This window comes from Homo sapiens, chromosome 2, assembly GCF_000001405.40.
Source record: "Homo sapiens chromosome 2, GRCh38.p14 Primary Assembly".
Classification (NCBI taxonomy): domain Eukaryota; kingdom Metazoa; phylum Chordata; class Mammalia; order Primates; family Hominidae; genus Homo; species Homo sapiens.
Genome location: NC_000002.12, coordinates 216,530,973 through 216,552,931, shown reverse-complemented (window position 1 = coordinate 216,552,931; position 21,959 = coordinate 216,530,973). Strand labels below are relative to the sequence as shown.

Genomic DNA, 21,959 nt, shown 5'->3' with positions numbered 1-21,959 from the left:
CTTGGAACCAAAGGAAGATCAACTGCGAAGTCACATGAAGAGACACAGATGGGCTGAGCCAAAGCACAGCAAGCATGGTGCCCCCTTTTTTTTTTTTTTTTTTTTGGATGGAGTTTTGCTCTTGTCACCCAGGCTAGAGTGCAATGGTGTGATCTCAGCTCACTGCAACCTCCACCTACCAGGTTCAAGCAATTCTCCTGCCTCGGCCTCCCGAGTAGCTGGGATTACAGGCGTGCACCACCACACCCGGCTAATTGTTTGTATTTTTAGTAGAGATGGGGTTTCATTATGTTGGCCAGGCTGGTCTCGAACTCCTGACCTCAGGTGATCCACCCACCTCGGCCTCCCAAAGTGCTGGGATTACAGGTGTCAGCCACCGCATCTGGCCGTATGGTGCCATCTTTAGAACTGCAGAGAGCTCTGTGTCAATTCCATGGTTAGTGGCCTAGAAACCTTTGTTTTCTAGACTAAGGACTCTTGGGAATCACAGTCAGGGAACCAGAAGTGACTGAGATGAGATTAGTCAACGACATCGTCTCTCTTCCTCCTGCAGTGGAAGGACCAAGGAATCAGCCAGAGTACATAGGCACCAGCCAGGAGGAGTCCAGGACTTGGACTATTAGTCAGCAAGTTCCACCATGGTAAGCAGAAAGCACAGGCCAAGCGGCTTTAATTCAGCTGAAATCCCAAACCACCAGGCTGTGTATTCACCTCACTAGGGTATGAAAAAAGATTCGGGCGAGAGTTAGTGCTTAAGACAAAAGTCACTTTCCCTTCCAGTTCTGATGATTCAAGATGTATCCAACCATTATTTTCCAACCACTTACTAGAGGAAACCTTTTACCAGTCTTCCTCTATTTTTCTTTATTTTATTTTATTTTTTGAGGTGGGGTCTCATTGTGTCCCACAGGCTGGAGTGCAGTGGCACAATCTCAACTCACTGCAACCTCCGCCTCCCAAGCTTAAGTGATCCTTCCATCTCAGCTTCCCGAGTTGCTGGAACCACAGACTACTCAGACTGGCCCGAACATGCCCCTGCAGGCAGCAAGGACCTGTGTCCCTCACCCTTCTCCACCAGCAAGCAGAATTCACCCTCCCAATGTTCCTGGTTTACAATCTTTTAACAAATATTTATAGAATACCAACTATGTATCTAGGACTGTTATAGACACTTGCAATAAAGAGAAAAACAAACAAAAGCCCTGCCCCTGTGAAACTTAAGTGCTATGTTTTTGCACACCACGCCTGGCTAATTTTTTGTATTTTTGGTAGAGATGGGGTTTACCATGTTGCCCAGGCTGGTCTTGAACTTCTGGGCTCATGTGATTCTCCCACCTCGGCCTCCCAAAGTGCTGGGATTATAGGTGTGAGCCACGGTGCCTGGCCTATTCCTCTTTATTTCCTTTTTCCTTTATATATTCTCCTCATCCATGCTTGAGTGTTCTATTTCTCTCTCGTCTAATGTAATCTAATACAATGGAATATTTTTCTTTGGGATCATGGGGGAGGTTCTCACGTCTGGGAGCCTGGCCAAGGTATATGTATTTACAACATCTGAGTTCCATTTCAAAAGTTTGTTTCATGACCCTGTTCCTTTGATTACAATCTAATCCTATGTATGGGCAGGAACATTTTCTGCTGCAGCACCAGCCTTGAAAGAGACATATTACCAGCTATCACAACCTCCTCCCTGGTCACCCAGTTCAAAGACAACACACACACCCCTAGGCCTCTTCCTACCAAGCAAAATTTTTAGATGAACCACGCTTGCAGAAAAATAAATAAGACATTTTCAAAGAGACATCAATCTTAAAACTTGCTCTTAGCTTCTTTAAAAAAGAAAAAAGAGTGTTAGAGTAGATCGGTCTGAGATTTAAGCTTTCAGGTTGTGATATAAAAAAACATGTATGAGTTCAGTGCTAGCAATGATATTAAACATATATCAGCTTTGTGTGTCTAATTTTTTTTCTGATTCAATGCAATTTATGAGCAGCCTACACCCCACTTTGGAATAGAGGCATGGAATAGTGAAAGATGCTTCACCATAAGCAGCCCTACTTTCAAATCCTAACTCAGCGACTTAGTGGCTGTGTATGCAAAACTATTTCTCCAAGCTTCAGTTTCCTCATCTATAAAATAGAGACAAAAAATATCCAACTCTTAGGGTTGAAAGAATTCAATGAGATAAAGTCTTAAAGCTCTCAACAAATGTTAATTTCTCCCATACGCACATCCTTGCATTGTGTGCAGTTAAGAGAGGCTGCAAACAGGCATTACCAGACCCTTACCATCAAAAAGATCACAACCTGTGGAAAGATAACATTTAGCAGTATATAATAAACTGCAGAATTGGTGCTAGGTTGGAAATAGTCAACACGGAAACAGTCAGGGCATAAAGGAGATAGCCCCTATCAGCAGGGCTTCTGGGAAGCCTATCAGGAAGGCTGCACAGAGATGGCCGTGAAGGGTGGGGAGGCTGGCACTTCAGGCTCAGGTGTGGAGGGAGAAATAGATTCCCATGCTTGTGGGAGCATAGGAAGATCAGAAAAGACTGACCCTAAAAGGTGGGGATGATGTGACAGGGAAGGGCCAGCGTCATGGCGTGGGGACACTGGAAAGCCAGGCAGAGGCAGGTGGCCATGATTTCATTTGAAATGGTATTCATTGTCAGCTTTGACACCGTAAGATCAGAGCTTTATGGAATGGAATGCTAAAGGCCTCCCCGCTCCCCAGACAAGAGGCAACCAGTGGGAGAAGGAGGAGCCAGTGGGAGGGGCATCCACAAAAGAGGGAGGGTGGTGGAGTCCACCCACTGCTCAGATGCAGCGGATAAAAGGGGAGAGGAATCACAGATGCCTCTTGGTTTGCGTCAGGAAAGCAAGCAAAATATGCCAACAACACTGGAGGCCCAGAAGTTAGAAAAGGGAGTTGCCTGAAGAAGAAAGAGCCATTTGGTCCATTTTGGACAAGTTTATGTGAGATGCCTGAACAAGAGCGCTGCGTGTGTGTGTCCTCTGGAGAGTGTGTACCCCTTAGCGGGAGGGCCTGCTTCCCCTTCTATTCCATTATACCCACTCCTCTCACTGTATTCCAGATTCATGTTTCTTAAAAACTCAGCTGAATTCATAGCTAGGTGTGCCTGGAAGGAGGAGATTATGCAAGCTGTCCCGAGGAAGCCAGAGGTGTGTTCGACCCCTGTGTTTCCTGAGTGTTAGTTGGATTCCTGAAGCCATCAGTTAGTGGTTCCCGAATGTTGTGTTCAGGTTCTCCCACCTTTTTTGAAGGAGAATAAGAGTTTCTAGAAAGGATCTGACTCCAAACCAGGCAAAGTCTCATGTCTTAGATGGAGTCAATACCTTAGAGAATATTAAAATTATTGGGCCCAAAGGTAACTTGGAGATATTCTTTAGATGCTCTTAAGAATACTGTTCTTGGATTATGTATATTCCAAATATCTTCTGTGATTCGTCTCTTCACTTTCTTTAAGGAACTCTTTGATAAATCGTCATAGGTACCATGGATGGGTCCTCCTGCGCATGCATTCTGACTCCAAGGAAGCCCACCCTTCTCTGCTGATGCAGTTCAGCATGGCTTTGGCTGGCAAAGTTGTGTTGGCTTCTGGGCACCAGAATAGCAAGCAGGCCCCGAGGCAGCCAACATCAGGAATCGAGAAAGGGAGTTCCAGATGGAAGCGGCAGAGTGTGAAGATGCTTGACTGCAGGCCAGCCCCATGGCGGGGGGAGAGGTGTGGGGGTTTGGAATGCCCTAAAAGGTTCCAGACCAGTGGCAAAGCTGCTAGAAAAGGCTGAGCCCAGACCCAAAGGAAAGCCTTGTGTCCAACCCCTATGTTAAGATATGGGGAATTACAGAACCCCCAGGACTGAAATCACCCTCCCTCTAAGAACATCATGTCCACTGTTCAGCCGTCTGCCAAGATTACCAAAGCAGAATTGTTTTTAACAGAGATGGTAATCCACCACAACTCCTGTGGGTCATTCATTCAGACCCCCTGCCTTCCACTGCCTTCTATGCAATGTTAAGAAGGGAAAGAAGTCCAACTTCACATTTTTCTGGACAATTTGAAGAAACAAACACAGAGGAAATGGTTTACATCAATGAAATGGATAAAAGCTGGAGAACAGAAAGAACTTCTCAGGAGTATGAGAAAGTGTGAGAGAACAATCACAGTCTGAACAGTGAGTCTCGGTATTCTTTTGTGAAAGAGCCAACTACACTAGGCCTCAGTTTCCCCACCTATAAAATGGAAAGACCATTCGCTGCTTTGCCTTACTTGACATTGAAAAGAGTAAAGCCCATTTGAGATGTTAAAGGCCTTGGCATGTTGAAAGGAAGTGTCTGCAGGGATCTATGAACTGAGAGGTTATCCAGCCATGGAGATGGGAAAATGAGGACTGTTCACCCTAGAACATCTTCCAGGGGGACCTAATGAGTAATGGGGCCAGAGTCATTTGTAATGTGCCACCGGACTGTGCTCATCCTCTTGGCTGCCAACACTCCTGCTTTCAGATGATAGCCCACTTTTTTCCATCAAAGGAACCACGACTTGACTACTCCCAAGGCTTGGTGATCCCAAGCATTCCAAGACCACCTGCTACAAGCCTCCATCAGAGCTATCAAGCAGCAACTGCAGACTCCTCCTGGAGGCAGGAAACAGTCACAGGCCCAAAGGGAGGTGAAGAGAGATCACTGAGGTGCTAGCTTAAAGCCTGGGAAGTGTGAAGCACCATCTCAACATGTAGGTTTCAACTGCAGTCTCAGTGAGCCCTGGAATCCCACTGGGGTGTCTTGGTCAGAGATTGGAGGAGGCCAGAACTGGTTCCGCATCTCCCACCCCTGCCTCAACCACAGCATCTCTGATGTTATTGGTCTTAAATATTGGGATGTTTTGTTTGCAAAAAGAGTTCTATGACTCTAAAAATGTTTATGAAACACTTGTCTGCACTAGTAAATTTTATTTTTAAAAAAAAGCATACAGAAGAAAAACTAATTGCACTTAAGACTTTAGAATCATATATCACATCCAACAGAAGAATTCTACTAGGAAAAATGCCCAAGCTGTTGCCCCCAAACTAACGTAACATGCTCATAAATGGCATCTGCCTTTATATTCTTGCTATTTCTTTATTTAGCTTTCCCCATTCTCTCAATTCCTAAGTACTAGAACAGGTAGAGATGCTGCTATTTAGGAAAATATTCCCTGAGTATCCTCCTCTAGGCCACTGCAGACCCTTCTCGCAGCTCTGTTTTGTGCATCTTCCATACTTAACACTTAGTACTGCAGGTAGATCTAGACTATGAACACCTTGAGGACAGGGATCATGTCTAATTCCATCAATCTATGTGGCCCATGTTTAAGCACAGTGCCAGTAACTCAGGAGGAGTTTGAGAGACCTGAATGAATGAATGAATGAATGCATGAATGAAGACACTTCTGCACAAATGTATAATTTCCTGGTTTCTCTTCTGTAAGTAAGTTAACATCTTCTATGTTTTGTTTTGTTTTTTCTTCTAGGTCACAGAGGGCTAATGCTGTAAATTCTCTCTCAGGGGAAAGCTGGGCAGACACACTTGGGAACATTTAAAAAACTAGGTTGGCATTGGAGAGGAAACAGCCAATATATTTAGCCACCCATGGCATGCCAAGGCCTTATCGAGACAGAAATAGGCACTGTAGGAGGAATCTCAATTAAATATTTTTCTAAGCAGTCAGCTCTGGGCTTTGCCTGAACATGGATAGAGAGCTGGGGTGAAGCACAGGACAGAAAGCCAAGAAGATCTCAGTGGGGCTTCTGAATCATCCTGGGGCTTAACTGCTAGCAATGTAAAACTGGTGACCCCAGGGGGCAGGGGTGCTGGCCTACCTTCCATGTCCAAGGAGCAGGACAACCTCCCTGCAGGCACTTTCCAGAATCCCACACATTTGGGGGACCCATCCTCTCCGCCATACCTACTCTTAAGTGGCAGCAAGTATCCGGAATATTCTTCCTATGAGCTTTACCCAACTGTTTCCAATAGTCAACACTCCCTAAGAATCGGTCTTATCCAGAAAGTACTCCTGGAATGACTTGAGGAGAAACACAATGACGCTTTGGGCATAGAATTCCACCCTGCAGCCTAGTTATCTTTTCTTTGTTAAAATATGCAGCACTTCAATCCAGAGACATAGGGACAACTGCCCTGAATTGACTGGGGTATGAGGATGGGCTCCAGTGCTGGGCAGGGTGAGAGTGGGAGGGGGTACCTGGCGGGGGTGCAGACAGTCCGGTGCAGAATGCACGTATGAATAATAACAAATCTCTCTTTTTTTTCATATGTGGGCTTTTCCAAATATGGAAAACAGCTTTTCCCACTTAAAAATGTATCATCAACTTTTTCCCATGTCATTGCATGTTCTTTTACAATGTGATTGTTAACATCTATATAGCATGCCCTCATTTGGAAGTCATTTTATTTAGCCCATCTCCAGCTGTTAAGCATTTAGATTGTTTCCTGTTATTATCACACTATGATGAACACGCTCAGGGTGACCGTTGTGTTAATTTCTAATCATTTCAAGAAGCAGGCTAGCTGGGGGTTAAGAACAAGGGTCTTGCAGCTGTTCTTCCCAATCTCAATCCCAGTGTCATAACTTGTTCCTTGTTAGACCTTGCTCACATGACTTGGTCTCCACATGCCTCATTTTCTTCATAGTAAAAAGTATCTATTAATACTTACTTTATAGGGTTGTCTTAGGGATTAAATATGTTAATAAATATAAGTGCTTAAAACAATGCCACTTTTAACGCTGTGTATGGTTGAGAAAGTACTCAGTAAACTTTAATTATGATATCTTTGGATTATATTCCTTGAATAATTTCTGGGTCAGCAAATTTGCATATTTTAAGGCCTTTGAAACATATTGCCCAACTGGATTAGGCCAATTTACATTCCCGTAAGCAATCTATAAACACATCGGGTTGTTCACAGTCTTCTAAACCTCTTCTTTTAAAATACCCAAAACATTTACCGTAAGCAACCTGGACTTCTCTGTAGTGGTAGGATTTAGCACTATTGATCCCTTTTTCTTGAAATTCTCGACTCCCTAGTTTTCTTCCCCTGCCTTCTGAGTTCCCCTTTTACATCTCTGATCTTCCCTCCACTTCATTGCCTCCCCTTTCCTGAGACCTCAAGATGCTGGATGTTTCCTGAGGTCCAGACCGCAGCGGTCTTCTCTCCTTTGTCTACATCCCATTTCTCAGAGGTCTTATCTACTCCAGCCATCCCCTCAGCTTCCTGACACCTCCAGTTCTCATTCGTCACAAGTGTTGCAACCCTAGTCTCCAATTACTAATTAATTCCATGTGACTGTCCCATGGTTTCAAATCTCCAAATCCAACACCAAATCTACCACATCTGGTTCCCTCCCCTCCACCTTCACAGGCAAGCTCCCAGTTTCCGTATTTCTATTACCAAAGCTTGAAACTTCAAAGTCACCTTGGATGCCACTCTCTGACATCTAAGCAGTCATCAGATCCAACATGTTATTTTTTCTCAGTATCTCCTGGACTGTCTCTTCCTTTCCATTTCTAATACTGTCGCCCTTATTCACACTTTTATCATAAGGTAAGTCCTCTTGCCAACCAGCTCTCCCTGGCACACTCCTTCCTTTGATGGGCTTGAAGATGGATCTCTATAAATGCCCCACCACTTCCCTACTCAAGGCTCCTCTGCAGACCTCATCACCTGAACAAAGCCCATACTCCTCCCTCTGGCATCAAGAACTTCAAAGACCTGACCCCATTCTATATTTCCAGCCCTATCTTCTGGACCTGACCTGTATTTCTCTTAGCCTGTAATGTCCATTCGCTCTAAATCCTATCTATTCTCCAAATAATTCTCCTCCCAGAAGGTTTTTCTGGCCACTCCCACTTACAATAACCAGTTGTACTTAGGACAGTTGGGCTACAAATAATAGTTTGAGAAACACTCAAATTGGCCTCAACCATAGGGATATTTGTTAGCTCGCATCACAGAAAATCTACACACAGAAGAGCTGAAGGGCGAGGCTACAGCAAACACTGCTGCTCAACAGCATTTATTTTCCCCTTCCTCTTTCCTAACGGAAGTTCAGTTTTGCTCAAATCTCCCACTCCTCTTTTTGTTCAAGTCTACATAGTCTCGTGCTTCTGGGAGACTGACCTCATTCTTAGCTCTAGTGAGTACTTAAGGGCTTGGGTGCTGGAGCCTGAGTTCAAAACTTAGTTCTGCCGCTTCCTAGCTGTGTGGTCCCTGAGCAAATTATTTAAACTCTGTGCATCCCAGCACTTTGGGAGGCCAAGGCAGGAAGGTCACTTGAGCTCAGGAGTTCAAGACCAGCCTGGGCAACATAGTGAAACCTCATCTGTGCTAAAAAAATTTTTTTAATTAGTCAGGTGTAGCGGTGCACACCTGTAGTCCCAGCTACTCTGGAGGCTGAGGTGAGAGGATTGCTTGAGCTGGAGAGATCAAGGCTGCAGTGAGCTATGATCGCACCACTGCACTCCAGCCTGGGTGACAGAGTGAGACCTTGTCTCTCTAAAAAAGCAAGCAAACGGCTGGGCACAATGGCTCACACCTGTAATCCCAGCACTTTGGGAGGCCAAGGTAGGTGGATCACTTAAGCTCTGCAGTTCAAGACCAGCCTGGGCAATGTGGTAAAACTCCGTCCCTACTAAAAATAGAAAAATTAGCCAGGTGTGGTGGTGCACTCCTGTAATTGCAACTACTCAGGAAGCTGAGGCACAAGAATCACTTGAGGCCAGGCGCGGTGGCTCACGCCTGTAATTCCAGCACTTTGGGAGGCCGAGATGGGCGGATCACGAGGTCAGGAGATGGAGACCATCCTGGCTAGCGTGGTGAAATCCCGTCTCTACTAAAAATACAAAAAAAAAAGAAAGAAAAATTAGCCGGGCGTGGTGGCGGGTGCCTGTGGTCCCAACTACTCAGGAGGCTAAGGCAGGAGAATGGCGTGAACCTGGGAGGCGGAGCATGCAGTGAGCCGAGATTGCGCCCCTGCGCTCCAGCCCGAGACACAGAGTGAGACTCCGTCTCCAAAAAAAAAAAAAAAAAAAAAGAATCACTTGAACCCAGGAGGAAGTGGTCGCAGTGAGCCGAGATCACGCCACTGCACTCCAGCCTGGGTGACAGAGTGAGGCTCCATCTCAAACAAACAAAAACTGTGCTTCAATTTTCTCATGTATAAAATGAGGATATTAGCAGTACTCTTAGAGCGTTAAGGTTGTTAAGCGAGATAATACATGTAAAGCACTTAGAACAGTGCCTGTCACATAATAACAGTTGTGTTTACAGAGCACTTGCTGTTTTCACCCTGACTGGGGTAAAACAATAATGGCACTCCCATGCTCTTCGCTATTGCCTGGTTTGGAGTAGCCATGGGATCCAGAGCTGGCCAGAAAGCCATGAGGGGAGTCCACTGAGGACCCTCTGAGGATATTGTCTTAACTCTTAAGGAGGAGACTTGAGATTGTCTGACCCTTTTATTTTCCATACCGCGCCATGTCGGAAGTCTGAGCATGCTGCCTGGCCCGTGCAGCCTGGGCAGCTGGGGCCTCAGTGTTGGCTGGGTGATGCCGTCAGAGACCTGGACGCTCATCTCCTTGTGCATCCCTCTTCCGTGTGCTGGCTTCTTCCAAGTGGCAAGTTGGCGACAGCAGTCCCAGTCCTCATGTTCTAGGCACAACAATCAGAGAAGTAGAGACTGCCTTTTCCTGTGGCTCTCTTTAGGAGCGAGAGAGGCTTTCCCATAGGCTCTTCAGCAGACCCCATTCCTACCTTATCAGATAGAACTGTGTCATGTGGCCTTTCTTAAAATGAGTGCCGAAGTAAATAGAGTTTTGTATAGTCCAGTCAGGGCAAGCCTAGAGTTGTGATGGGGTCACATCCCCGGAGACAACAAGGCAACTTCTAGCAGCACCTCTACTGGTTCCTTTGTCCATGGACAGTTGTGTCAAGATAAAGGATTTCCATGTAGGACTCAAGAGACCTAGGTTCCGGCCTTGGCCCTGCTGCTAGCCAGCTGGGTGACTTTGAGCAAGTCACTTAACTTCTCTGAGTCAGTGTTTTCATCTAAAGTGAGAATGATAACTTTGCCTTCATATTGTAAGAATCCAATGAGAAGACGAGGTAGCACCTTGCAAGCTGGAAGTTGCTGTCAAATGGAAGATGCTATGGATTTTAAGGGCTGCTTTCCTCCTTTAGGAATCCACTTTTAGGCAAGTGAACTCTAAAGCCAGCAGCCAACCAGCAAAGTGAGTCAAGAATCTTCATCTCCTTCCTCTGGACTGCTCTTTTGGGCTGCCGCATCTCAAAGCCTACTCTTGGGTTAGCAGCCCCACCACAGGTCCTCTGTCCACCCCGTAACCACACCCCGTAACCACAGGCCTCTTTTGGACTGAAGAATTTTCAGGGAAGAAAAATGCCTCACTTCCTTGAGATGCCCACACCTACCTGCCTCAAGTCTCACTGTCAGGAGAGCTGGGATGTTGCATTTTTATCTAGAAATTCAAGGCCATTTATCTATCTATCTTTTTTTTTTTTTAAGATAGAGTCTCACTCTCTTGCCCAGGCTGGAGTGCAGTGGCATGATATCAGCTCACTGCAACCTCCGCCTCCCAGGTTCAAGCGATTTTCCTGCCTCAGCCTCCTGAGCAGCTGGGATTACAGGCGTATGACACCACACCTGGCTCATTTTTGTATTTTTGGTAGAGACAGGGTTTCACCATGTTTGCCAGGCTGATCTTGAACTCCTGACCTCAGGTGATCCACCTGCCTTGGCCTCCCAAAGTGCTGGGTAACAGGCGTGAGCCACCGTGCCTGGCCAAGGCCATCTATCTTTTGACCTAGACTCTTGAGATCTGTAAAGGCCAGGTAAGACAGGTTTCAGAAAATCATTGTTAAAAGCTTGAGCTCCAGAATGAGTCTCTGAATTAGAATCTGGGCCTCATTGCTCAGTGGCTGGTTGATCCAAGGCAAATCATTTAGCCTCTGAACCTCGGTTTCCCCATCATTAAGGTGGAGATAAGGATGTCTACTTCATAAGGCTACTCTGAGATAAGATAAACCATGTAAACTACTTAACGTTATGCCTGACATAGAGCAAGAACACCAAGCAGAAGTTAGGCAATCTATTACATTTATAACACCTGTTGGGTGTTATGAAATTGGCCTAATTCTAGCTCCTCTCCAGCCCTTGAGGGGCTGAGAGCCTTGGAAAGAGAACAGGAGACCTGGGTTCCAGTCCTGGTGCTATCACCATGAGCTGTGTGGTCTTGGTCACCTCTAAGATTCCGCTTTCTTGTCTATAAAGTGGTAAGGCTGCATAAGGTGGTTTCTGAGGCCCCTCCCTATACTAACAAGCTCATGTTTGTGGTGTCCTAGTTCTTCCATGACAAGACTTCCAGAGTCTCCTCCTGTCTATCTGCTTTGCAGAAGTGGCTCCTGGAACTGTTCATGTCCAGGCATTTACTCCAGGGGACTCCTGGTCATTTTCAGGCATAGACACTGCATCTCCACGTCTGTCCTGCTGCTGCCCTTTCTCTTTCATCTGGGGGTCCTCCTGGACTTCTGGGAATGCCATCCCTCCCTGCCCCCATCGTATTCCCCCAAGGCGTCTGTGTCCTCTCACTTTCTTGTCTTCTACCCAAATTCCTAGCTCCCTAAGCCAGGTAAAAAAGCAGTTTAGTTCGACCTACACTGGCACTTTCTCAAAACCTCCCCTGCCTCTGGCACATTCCTTGTGTCTCGGCAGGACCCAGAGAGCTGGAGAATTCCTCTCCCTCCTTAGCGTGGGTCCCCGTGTTGGCATGCCAACAGCCCCAATATTTAAAGCAATCATGAAAATGAGCTCAGAGTCCCATGCCAGAGCCTTGAAAGGAATTAGGCTAAAAACAGGACAAAGGAAGAGGTGAGGCCAAACAGAAAATGCCATGAAAGGCACTGCCCAGCATGGCTGGATCCCAGAGCCCTCCTCTCTGGCTTCACTCACCTATAGCCAGGCACTGTGCTAGGCACTGGGGATGCAAAGTTGAATGAATCATCCCTGCCCTTGAGGAGCTCCCAGGCCAGCTGAGAAAGCTATACAAATGGACAATCACAGTACAGTATGGTAAGCACAGACAAGATGCCACCGAAGGCACAAGGGAGCCATCAAAGCAGAGGGTCCTGGCTGTGCCTGGGGTCCATGACGCATCTCCTAGAGCCTTGATCTAGGCCTTAGGACAGGCATTCACACAGGGACAAGGCAGAAGAGGTGCTTCCAGAGAAATGCAGATGCAAAGGCACAGAAGCATGAAACAGGATGAAGGAGGGAGAGAAAGTGCACAAGTGTGACTGCTTGGTAAACTTGGTAATGATCCAGCCTCTCCATTGGGCATGTTTATGTACATGTAATGTATGGAGAATGAAATTAGACTCAGCCTTATAATTGAAGATTTTTTAAAAATGTTAAACTAGATGGACACATGGATGCTTGTGTGTGCAAGGAAATTACTGGGCAGAATGCCTTTATCAGAAGGTGCCTGGAGTGCATGCCGAGCACGGATGTGTATAGCGAGAGGGTGACATAGCTATGTGCCCACAGCACCTTTCCTGTGATCAGTCCCGGGAGACTCCCTGCTGGAGGGGAGATGAGGTTTCCCCAGTCATTTGAGTGAAGGAAGAGAATCAGCTTGGCAGGCTGGGAGAGCTGGCAGTGCCCCAGACACCTGGCACAATGCAGGGGAAGGTGTCAAGGTCAAAAACGATGCCTGAGTGAGTTGTGACTAAGCGAGCCCCAGGGCTTCCTGGTTACCAAGAGGAGATGGGAGTGGTGGGCAGGCCCAGGGCCTCTCCTGCCACAGTGCTTTCAAATCCTCACAGCAGGCACAGAGAGTAGCTTTGGCTTGAGTCTTGGGGAGCTGGGCAGCCGCACTCAAGCCTCTTTTGGAAAGAAAGAAGTAAAATGAAAGTGACACAAGCAAAATGATCATCAGGTGCTATTAAAAGAAATTCGTTATGACTAAGACATCTGCAAATAATAATGGTGCTCATTTTCATCATCATCACCATCATTATCATCACCATTTTTATTTACTTAAGTGGTTCTAACATTTACTAAGCACTTATGAGCCAGGCTATATTAAACTTCACATGCACTTAACCTTCATAACAATCGGAAGAGATCAGTATTCTTGCTCACATGTTACTGAAGAGGAAATATCCCCTAGGAAGGCTATATTAAGGTTCAGGGTGCCCTAAAACCAGGCAGTGTGTATTTAAAAAGCAGAAAATGTTATGGGCTGAACTGTGTTTTCCCCCAAAAATTCTTATGTTGAAGTTCTAACCTCCAACACTTCAGAATGTGAATGTATTTAGAGATAGGGTCTTTAAAGAGGTGATTAAGTTAAAATGACATCATCAGGGTGGCTTTTAACCCACTATGACTGGTGTCCTTGAAAGAAGAGGGAATTTGGACACAGACATGTATAGAGGAAAAGACCATGTGAAGACACAGGGAGAAGACAGCCATCTATAAGGCAGGGAGGGAGGCCTCAGAAGAAACCAACCCTGCTGACACCTTGATCTCGGACTTCCAGCCTCCAGAACTGTGAGAAAATAAATTTCTGTTGTTCAGCCCCCAGTCCATGGTGCTTTATTATGGCAGCCCTCCCAAATAAATCGAGAGAGCAATGACCCAGGAGTACCTTAGAGAAACTAGGAGAAACAAGGCTGCAGGGACCGCATGGCACCCATGCAGGGGAGCTGACTGCCTGCACGCCTTTGCCTTGCCCTCAGCTGTAGGACACCTGAGGACCCCTTAGCATCCTCAGCTCAGCTCTGAGAGTGATAAGCCCCAGAAGGTTTGGAGTTGTACAACAACAGTGCAATTGATGGTGTCTTCCTTGACAAGATCAGGACTTGAAAGCAATAGGATTAAAAACTGGGGTTTAAAGAGATTAAAACACAAAACCTAAAACAAAGCAAAGCCAGCATAATCTTTCTACTCTATAGACCTTTAACCACCAAACCACTATGAGAAGTAGGGTCAAGGGGGTAGGCCAATATTTCCACCTGGCTTCAGAAGCAAAACCAGTGCCCAATAGGAGTTCACTTTCTCACACGAAATGGGCCAGAGCCCGGAGGATGAACCTCTGGGAGAGGCGTCATTAGGATGGGTCAGTAACTAGGTCAGCAGTCACTGTGTCTGGGTTCTCTTGGATTCCTCGAAGCAAGTTAATTATTAAAGGGAACAGGTGAAAATATAGTCTTGAGGTTTGATTAAACTAAAATTGGTCTAGTCAGAGAGTGGGGTGGGGAAGAGGGTTTCAAGAATTCCAATCGGCCCCCAATGATACTGCAGAGACCCAAGTTGCCTTGGAATCTGCAATCAATGCGGAAATCACCAGAAGTATAGAGGAGTGACGGCTCCGGGCTCCAGTGCAGCAGGGCCTAGAGAACGAGAAAGGCATCCTGAAACTTTAAAAAAGTTGCATCTCTGTGTTGACAGCAGACTTTAAAACAGGTACAGGCCACTAGGGCAAATAGAAGCCTGACCAAAGATGGGGAAAATAAGGAGGACTTTCTGGAGGAGGTGCTCTGGAAACTGGGCTCTGGAGGAGGAAGGAGATAGAGCTCAAAGGACAGAGGAAGGTGCTTTGTCCCATGGAAAGTATGAAAGAGAAACTCCAGTGGCTGGGTGCGGTGGCTCATGCTTGTAATCCCAGCACTTTGGGGGGCAGAGGTGGGTGGATCACCTGAGGTCAGGAGTTCGAGACCAGCCTGGCCAACATGGTGAAAACCCATCTCTACTAAATACACAAAAATTAGCCAGGCGTGGTGGCACTCACCTGTAATCCCAGCTACTCAGGAGGCTAAGGCAGAAGAATCGCTTGAACCTGGGAGGCGGAGGTTGCAGTGAGCCAAGATAACACCACTGTGCTCCAGCCTGGGTGGCAGAGCAAGACTCAGTCTCAAAAAAAAAAAAGAAAGAAAAGAAAGAGAAACTCTAAAGGTTCAGTGGACAGCAGAAAGTTCTCCATGAAGAGTTTAAAGCTAGAAGGGGAGTCCTGGGTAGCACCTAAAAGGCATGTGTGTTTGTGTGTGGGGATGTATGTGTGGTGTGTGTGTGTGTGCATACATGCAGGTATGATGTATGTATGTGTGGTATGTGTGCATGCATGTGTGTGGTGTGTGATGCATGTAATTTTGTATGTGCATGCATGTATATGGTGTGTGGTGTGTGATGTATGGTATGCATGTGGTATATGCTTATGTGTATGCATGTGTGTGCGTGCAGTGTGTGCATGTACAGGTGTGGCATGTGCATATGTGCACACGTGTGGTGCATGTGTGTGGTATGTGTGCACATATGTGATGTGTGGTGTGTGCACTTATGTGCACGCATGTGTGTGGTGCATATGTGGTGTGTGTGTGTGTGTGTGTGTGCTCATGCACACACATCCTGGGACTTTAATGGTAAGGATCATCTGGCCGAATATCTCTGGTGAGGAGAAAGCAGGTGGCCCAGGCCAGAGCTAACAATAGCAGGATTTAGGGAGAACTGGGCAAGTTTGTCAGGGGCCTCCTGAAGCAAACGAGGAGCCACAGTAAAGGGTCTTGAAAGAGGCCTGCTGGATTTTCAATCAGACCTGCAGTGTCAAGTTTCAGCTCAAGTGATATCCAAATGTCTCATATTTCTATTTTATCATTTCCATATTTTCAGTGAGCAGAGCTTACCATCTGCACAATGTTGAGCCAAAGAAATAAAAACCAAGAGGAAATTGCACTACAGTGCGGCATAATCAGTCTGATCCGCCTGGGATGTTAGTGGAGACATGTGTGTCTTCACTCATCTGAGTATTAATGTCCTGACTGTTTCTAAGCAGGAAGTTTCCCATTTGGCCAGGCTGAAAGGCAGCTCCAAAATGGAGCAGCAGTTTTCTGTTCTCCACGAGCTCCCCTCCCCTGCTCCTGAATCACGTCACTCCCCAGTCGCTGCAAATGATTCTCATGTGTTGACAGGTTACACAGTTCAAGACAAGACATCAGCAGGAGTCTGGGTTGCAGCAAGAACCAGATAGCAGAGCAGGGAAGCCATGTGAGCTGGCTATTAGGTGACAGGGGCAGGCAGTGATCTGCCCGCTCTTTCCAGCCTCTCCCTCCTGGGCCCTGCTGATGTGTCTGGTTGTCCTCTGCAGCCTAGTCCATGGCACATCTCAGAAAAGGCATGTCAACTCTTCAATCCTTCATTTCTTCATACGAAAAGCAGGCTCATAACACCTACCTTGTAAGGCAGTAGGGAAGAGTGCTATGTTTCATAGAAAAAGATGCTAACAGAGCATCCAGCACACACTATTACTTAAAACATGCTTCAAACATAACAATAATAGTACACACTTATATCATGCTTACTACATGCCATGAGTGGTTTTAAGCACTTGATATTTTATTTATGTGTGTGTGTGTGCACACATGAACCAATTTAATCCTCACAACCCTGTAAGGCAGATTCTACTGTTATCCCTGTCTTACAGAAGAAGAAACTAAGGCACAGAGAGGTTCTGTAACTTAACCATGGTCACAGAGCTAGTAGAGCCAGGATTCAAACTCAGGCAGTCTGGCTCCAGGGACTAGGTGTAGATAAATAAATGAATTAATTAAAAGTTGATGTGTTGGTGGATGGATGGGCAAAGAACATGGATTCCCATGAACTCCAGTAAGGAGCAAGTTATCTAAGCAGCACATTGACAAGTTAAAGGCTCGAAATTCTAATCCCAGCCCCCATCAAGTCCAGGAACTGCAGTTGTTTAATGTTGCTACAAAGTGGCATCACCTACTCCAAGCTAGAGGTGAAGGCTGCTTCCCTTACTGAGACAGGCTTAGTATGCCATAATTTGGAAGGTTATCACTGGAAAGCACTCAGGTTATCACCTAACTCCTAATTTTATGTTTGCAGGAACTGAGGCAAGAGAGGGAAAGTGACCAGCCTAGGGTCACACAGTGCCTGTTCAGACGCGTGCCACTTCTATGCCCAGCACTGTTTTTATGACATAATTTGGCATCTCCTTCACACTAGGAAAGCAGAATCCGGAAGTTGGGGGAGGAGTTATGGACAGAAAAGCAAGATTGAAGAGTGGAATACACTGCCTGGCAAATTGTTTTAAAATGAGAAGGTCATACTTTGTTGCAAGGAAGTTCCTGTTTATGTAAGTCTGGTGAAGTCATCAGACCTTTTGCCTCTCCCCCGCCCCTCCCTGAGGCATCCGGAGGTCCACGGAGGGAAAGGACACTGGTACGGAATGCACCCTACACTCCCACGCTGCTTGCTGTTCCCCCAACACGCCTGAGAGCATTCCACATTCCCACTGCAGCATATTTGCTCACGCTGTTCTGGGACTGAATCCTCCCATCCCTACTCCCATCCATGCCTGGAGTAAACCTCCCCAGGCTTCAGGGACAGCTCGAAAGCCCCCTCTGTGACTCTTTCCCAGCCGTCAGAGCCAGGATGGACTTCCTGAGCTCCAGGGGCACTTGAAGCCAGTGGGGAAAGTTCTGGCTCCTGCATCAGCCAGGTCTGGATCTCTGTTCTGATTCTCTGTTCTCTGCTCACTTAAGTGTGACCTTTGGCAAGGACCTTCATGATCTCCCTGTCTCCATTCTCCCACTTATCAAATGGGAATAATAACAGTCCCCTCCTCATGAGGTTATATAATAAGATCAACATATATAAAGAAAGCATTTAGTACAGTGCCTGGTACTTAGTAAATGGGAGACATGATTGCCACTCTTGGAGGTCTTATTCCACATGCTTTTTTGATTTATGGTTGTTTGGATTTGTATCTTATGTCCCCTTCTAGAGAGATACCTATCTTTTGGCAGGAACTGTGTCAAGTTCAACTTTCCAATCCTGCTGCACTCTGAGCCTTGTGCAAAGTTGTGCTTTGTGAGCATGTGTTAAGTTGAAGTGAATTGGAACAAAAAAGATGAGTTAATTGTGGCAAAAAGCAGGGCGTTATAGTTTTTGTAAAAAGCCTATGATGACTGCCTTTATAAATAGACTTCAGAGGTTCTGGGTAGATGTGCAGAGTAGAATATTGCTTTCAGCTCTCATTACTAGTGTTCTTAAGGATGAGGTTGAGAGAAGCAATAATAATAACATCCTCCTATCAAGGACTTCAAATGGTCCATGTTAGGTTCTTTGTAACTTCACTTATTGCCCACTAACAACCTCTAAGGTAGACGTTATTATCCCTATATATGGATAGGAAATTGTCCCTATATATGGATAGATTCAGAGAGATTAAGTCACCCAACAAGGTTGGAGAGCAAGCATAGAGCTGAGGCCGGGTTTGAATCCAAGCCTGTCTGACTCCCAAGGCCATGCTGTACCCTGAACAGGTCTGCAGACCGCCTTCTGCCATCTGACCTAGGGCTTGTTTTGGTATGGCCATCAAGCCAAGGTGGGTTTTTACACTTCTAAATAGTTGAAAAAAATGAAAAGATTAATATTTTGTGACACATGAAAGTTATATGGAATTTAAATTTTAGTGTCCATAAATAAAGTTCTACTGGAACACAGCCACATCTGTTCATCTATACATTATATAATGTATAGTCCTGCCAACTATACATTGGCTGCTATAACAGAAGTGTTGAAATATTTGCAGGAGACACTGCATGCCCCTTAAAGCCTATATTCCCTATCTAATTTTTTCAGAAAAAGTTTGCTAGCCCCTGCTCTAGGTCATACTGACTCTTACAGACAAACTTAATGCAAAGAAAACTGCCCTTTCCATAAAAGTCATGCTACAAAAAGGGCACCCATCTCTGCAGCAATAAATCTTGGTCTCCAGATTCTGACTTGCCTTTATGCGTGCTGAGCCGCCTTGGTTCTTGCTTTCATCCAGCTCGCAATATGATGTGAAATGAGAGCAGCCACCAGACTCTGCCGGGCAGAGACAACAGGCCACAGCAAGCCTGGAAGCAAAGGGAAAGGAATTTAGAGCCAGAAGTCAGCTCAGCTTCATTAATGCCTTCACCCCCTTGATTCAGGGTTTCCTGCCGCATCTTGTTCAGCTGTGAACGTGCCCAGGCCCCAAGCAGGGGCAGGAGGCTGGAAATGATGAAAGCACAGGGGCTTCAGGCTCCCTGATTCTTTATCCAGTCTCCACCCTGACCACTGGGCAGAGGCCTGGCTCAGCATATCTCTCCCTGGGAAGCCTCAGGCAATCCCTCTCCCTGAAGAGTACTCAGTCTGAATGTAGAATGAGCGCTTGGCCCAGCTGTTCCATCGCCCATCTGCCTCACTCACCTGTTTTCCTTCTCCTTCACACTGCACAAACACCTTTTGCCCCTCCATTGTCTCCCTATGGGGTGAGCTTTGTGGCATTCCTTCATCCAGCAAGGGCTTTTGAACACCTGTTGTGTGTCCAGTTTTGTAGAGACACAAAGGAAGTAAAAGTAACCCAGGAGGTTTCTATTTGTTTCAGGATACCAGGTATACACATGGGAAGCCACAGAATGATCCTTGAAGAAATGCTGAGCACCAGTTATGTGCTTGGTATGCTCCAGGTGCCTTCATAACCATGCTTTTGCTTAAGCCATAAAACACACCTGTGGCCCAGGCATCCTTATGCCCATTTTACAGATAAGAAAACTGAGAATCTGAGAGATTGCCTGGAGATCAGATGGCTGTTAAGGGATGGAGCTAGGCTTTCAATTCAGGTCTCACTGGTCCAAAATGCATGCATCTTTGAAAAACTGGGCTGCTCCCTCTACCAGGATGTCATTGGGTGCCTCGGGGTTACAGGATGGGGATTTTAAGACAAATTTCTTAGGGAAAACAATCTTAAGTCCTTACACCGCAGCAGAAAGCACACTGGAACACCAATAAAGAGATTCTAGACACAGCCTGGCCGATCCTATAGTTAAAAAAAAAAAATTCTTCTAGACCCAACTCTTCCTTTAATGAGTTATATGAGTTATATGTCTCTGGGTATGATTTCTTCCCTTCCCTGGGTCTTAGTTTCCACATCTGTAAAACTAGATAGTCTGGACAAAGTGATCTCAAAGCATCGCCCACCTTCACTGCTTCTCTCTGTTCCTGCTGCTTCACAAATACAGTGCTTGGGCACAGGATTCAAAGTTCAGCTCTGGCCGTGAGTCACAAAACTCAATCCAGGTGCTTCCATCTGAATCTTGGAAAGACAAAAAAAAAAAAAAAAAAAAAAGCCCTAATAAAACTGATAGTCTGGCTATCTGGGTTCAAACCACAAAACTAAATTTTAAAAAAATAGAGGCAAAAGATATTATATAGCTGCTATATTCCTTTCTAAATTCCTTCCTGCTTGGTTTTCATGGAACTGTTTCCAAGAATAAATCAGGCTTCTGTTGCATTTGCATTGCTGGAGCCTCCTGAAGCAGGAGATAAGAGGCAGCAATGTCAAAAAGGAAACTGGGTGGTAGGGTGGGAGGTGGTGGCAGAAGGAGGCCTAAAGCTTGAAGGACAGGAAGGATTTAAACAAAGTGAGGACAAATCTTAAAAAACAAACAAACAAAAAGAGTAAAACCCCAAAGGCTTTTGGGGAAACTGTGAGGCGACCAGTTAGTTTTAATAGGAATTATCAGGGAATTAAGGAGAGACTAGAAATATAGGCAATCTTAAATGCTTTCAGCAAATTAAAAATGTGACTTAACATCCCAGTAGCTATAAGTACACTTAGCATCCAGATCTTGGTTTCTAGTAACACTGTCCAATATAAAAAGAACTAGCGTTCTTTGAAGAAATGTCTGATTCTAGTAGGACTGTAGCAAGAAATATACAAAATGAGTTTGGAATATCTTGAAATACCAGAAAATAAAGAAGTGATCAACAACGAATTTTTTAAAAAACCTACAATACAGCTGGGCACGGTGGCACATGCCTGTAATCCCAGCACTTTGGGAGGCCAAGGTGGGAAGACCACTTGAGCCCAGGAGTTCAAGATCTGCTGGGCAACATAGCAAGACCACACTAAATTATGTATAATTCTCCCCCTGCAATTTTCTTTTTTCTTTTTCTTTTCTTTGTTTTTGTTTTTGAGACAGGGTCTCACTCTGTTACCCAGGCTGGAGGGCAGTGACTCAATCTCAGCTCACTGCAACATCTGCCTCCTAAGCTCAAGCAATCTTCCCACCTCAGCCTCCCAAGTAGCTGGTACTATAGGGATGTGCCACCACGCCCGGCTAATTTTTTTGTATTTTGGGTAGAGACAAGGTTTTGTCATGTTGCCCAGGCTGGTCTCAAATTCCTGGTCTCAAGCGATCCATCTTCTTTGGCCTCCCAAAGTGCTGGGATTACAGGCATAAGCCACCATGCCCGGCCCCCAATTTTTTTTTAATTAGCCAGGTGCGGTGGTGCATGCCTGTAGTCCCAGCTACTCAGGAGGCTGAGGAAGGAGGGTTCACTTGAGCACAGGAGTTTGAGGTTGCAGTGAGCTATGATTGTGCCACTGCATTTCAGCCTGGGCAACAGATGTATGCTGTCTTAAAAAACAAAACAAAATGGGCCGGGCGCTGTGGCTCACGCCTATAATCCCAACACTTTGGGAGACCGAGGCGGGCGGATCATGATGTCAGGAGATCGAGACCATCCTGGCTAACACGGTGAAACCCCTTCTCTACTAAAAACACAAAAAATTAGCCAGGCGTGGTGGCAGGCGCCTGTAGTCCCAGCTATTCCGGAGGCTGAGGCAGGAGAATGGCATGAACCCAGGAGGCGGAGCTTGCAGTGAGCCAAGATCGAGCCACTGCACTCCAGCCTGGGCGACAGAGCGAGACTCTGCCTCAAAAAAAAAAAAATCGTACCATAATGGGGATATGTCAAAGGGATGCAGGAGCCAACTGAAAGAGCTACCAATGAACAAAGCTGGAAAAAATTAAGCAAT

General features: G+C 45.9%; 1 annotated feature.

Moving 5' to 3' along the window:
* Positions 13,033-13,122: an enhancer, noted in NCBI's record as "active region_17101". NCBI's record gives its function as "activates an Ori minimal core promoter by ATAC-STARR-seq in GM12878 lymphoblastoid cells {active_cell/tissue: GM12878}" and the evidence as "EXISTENCE:reporter gene assay evidence [ECO:0000049][PMID:35858748]".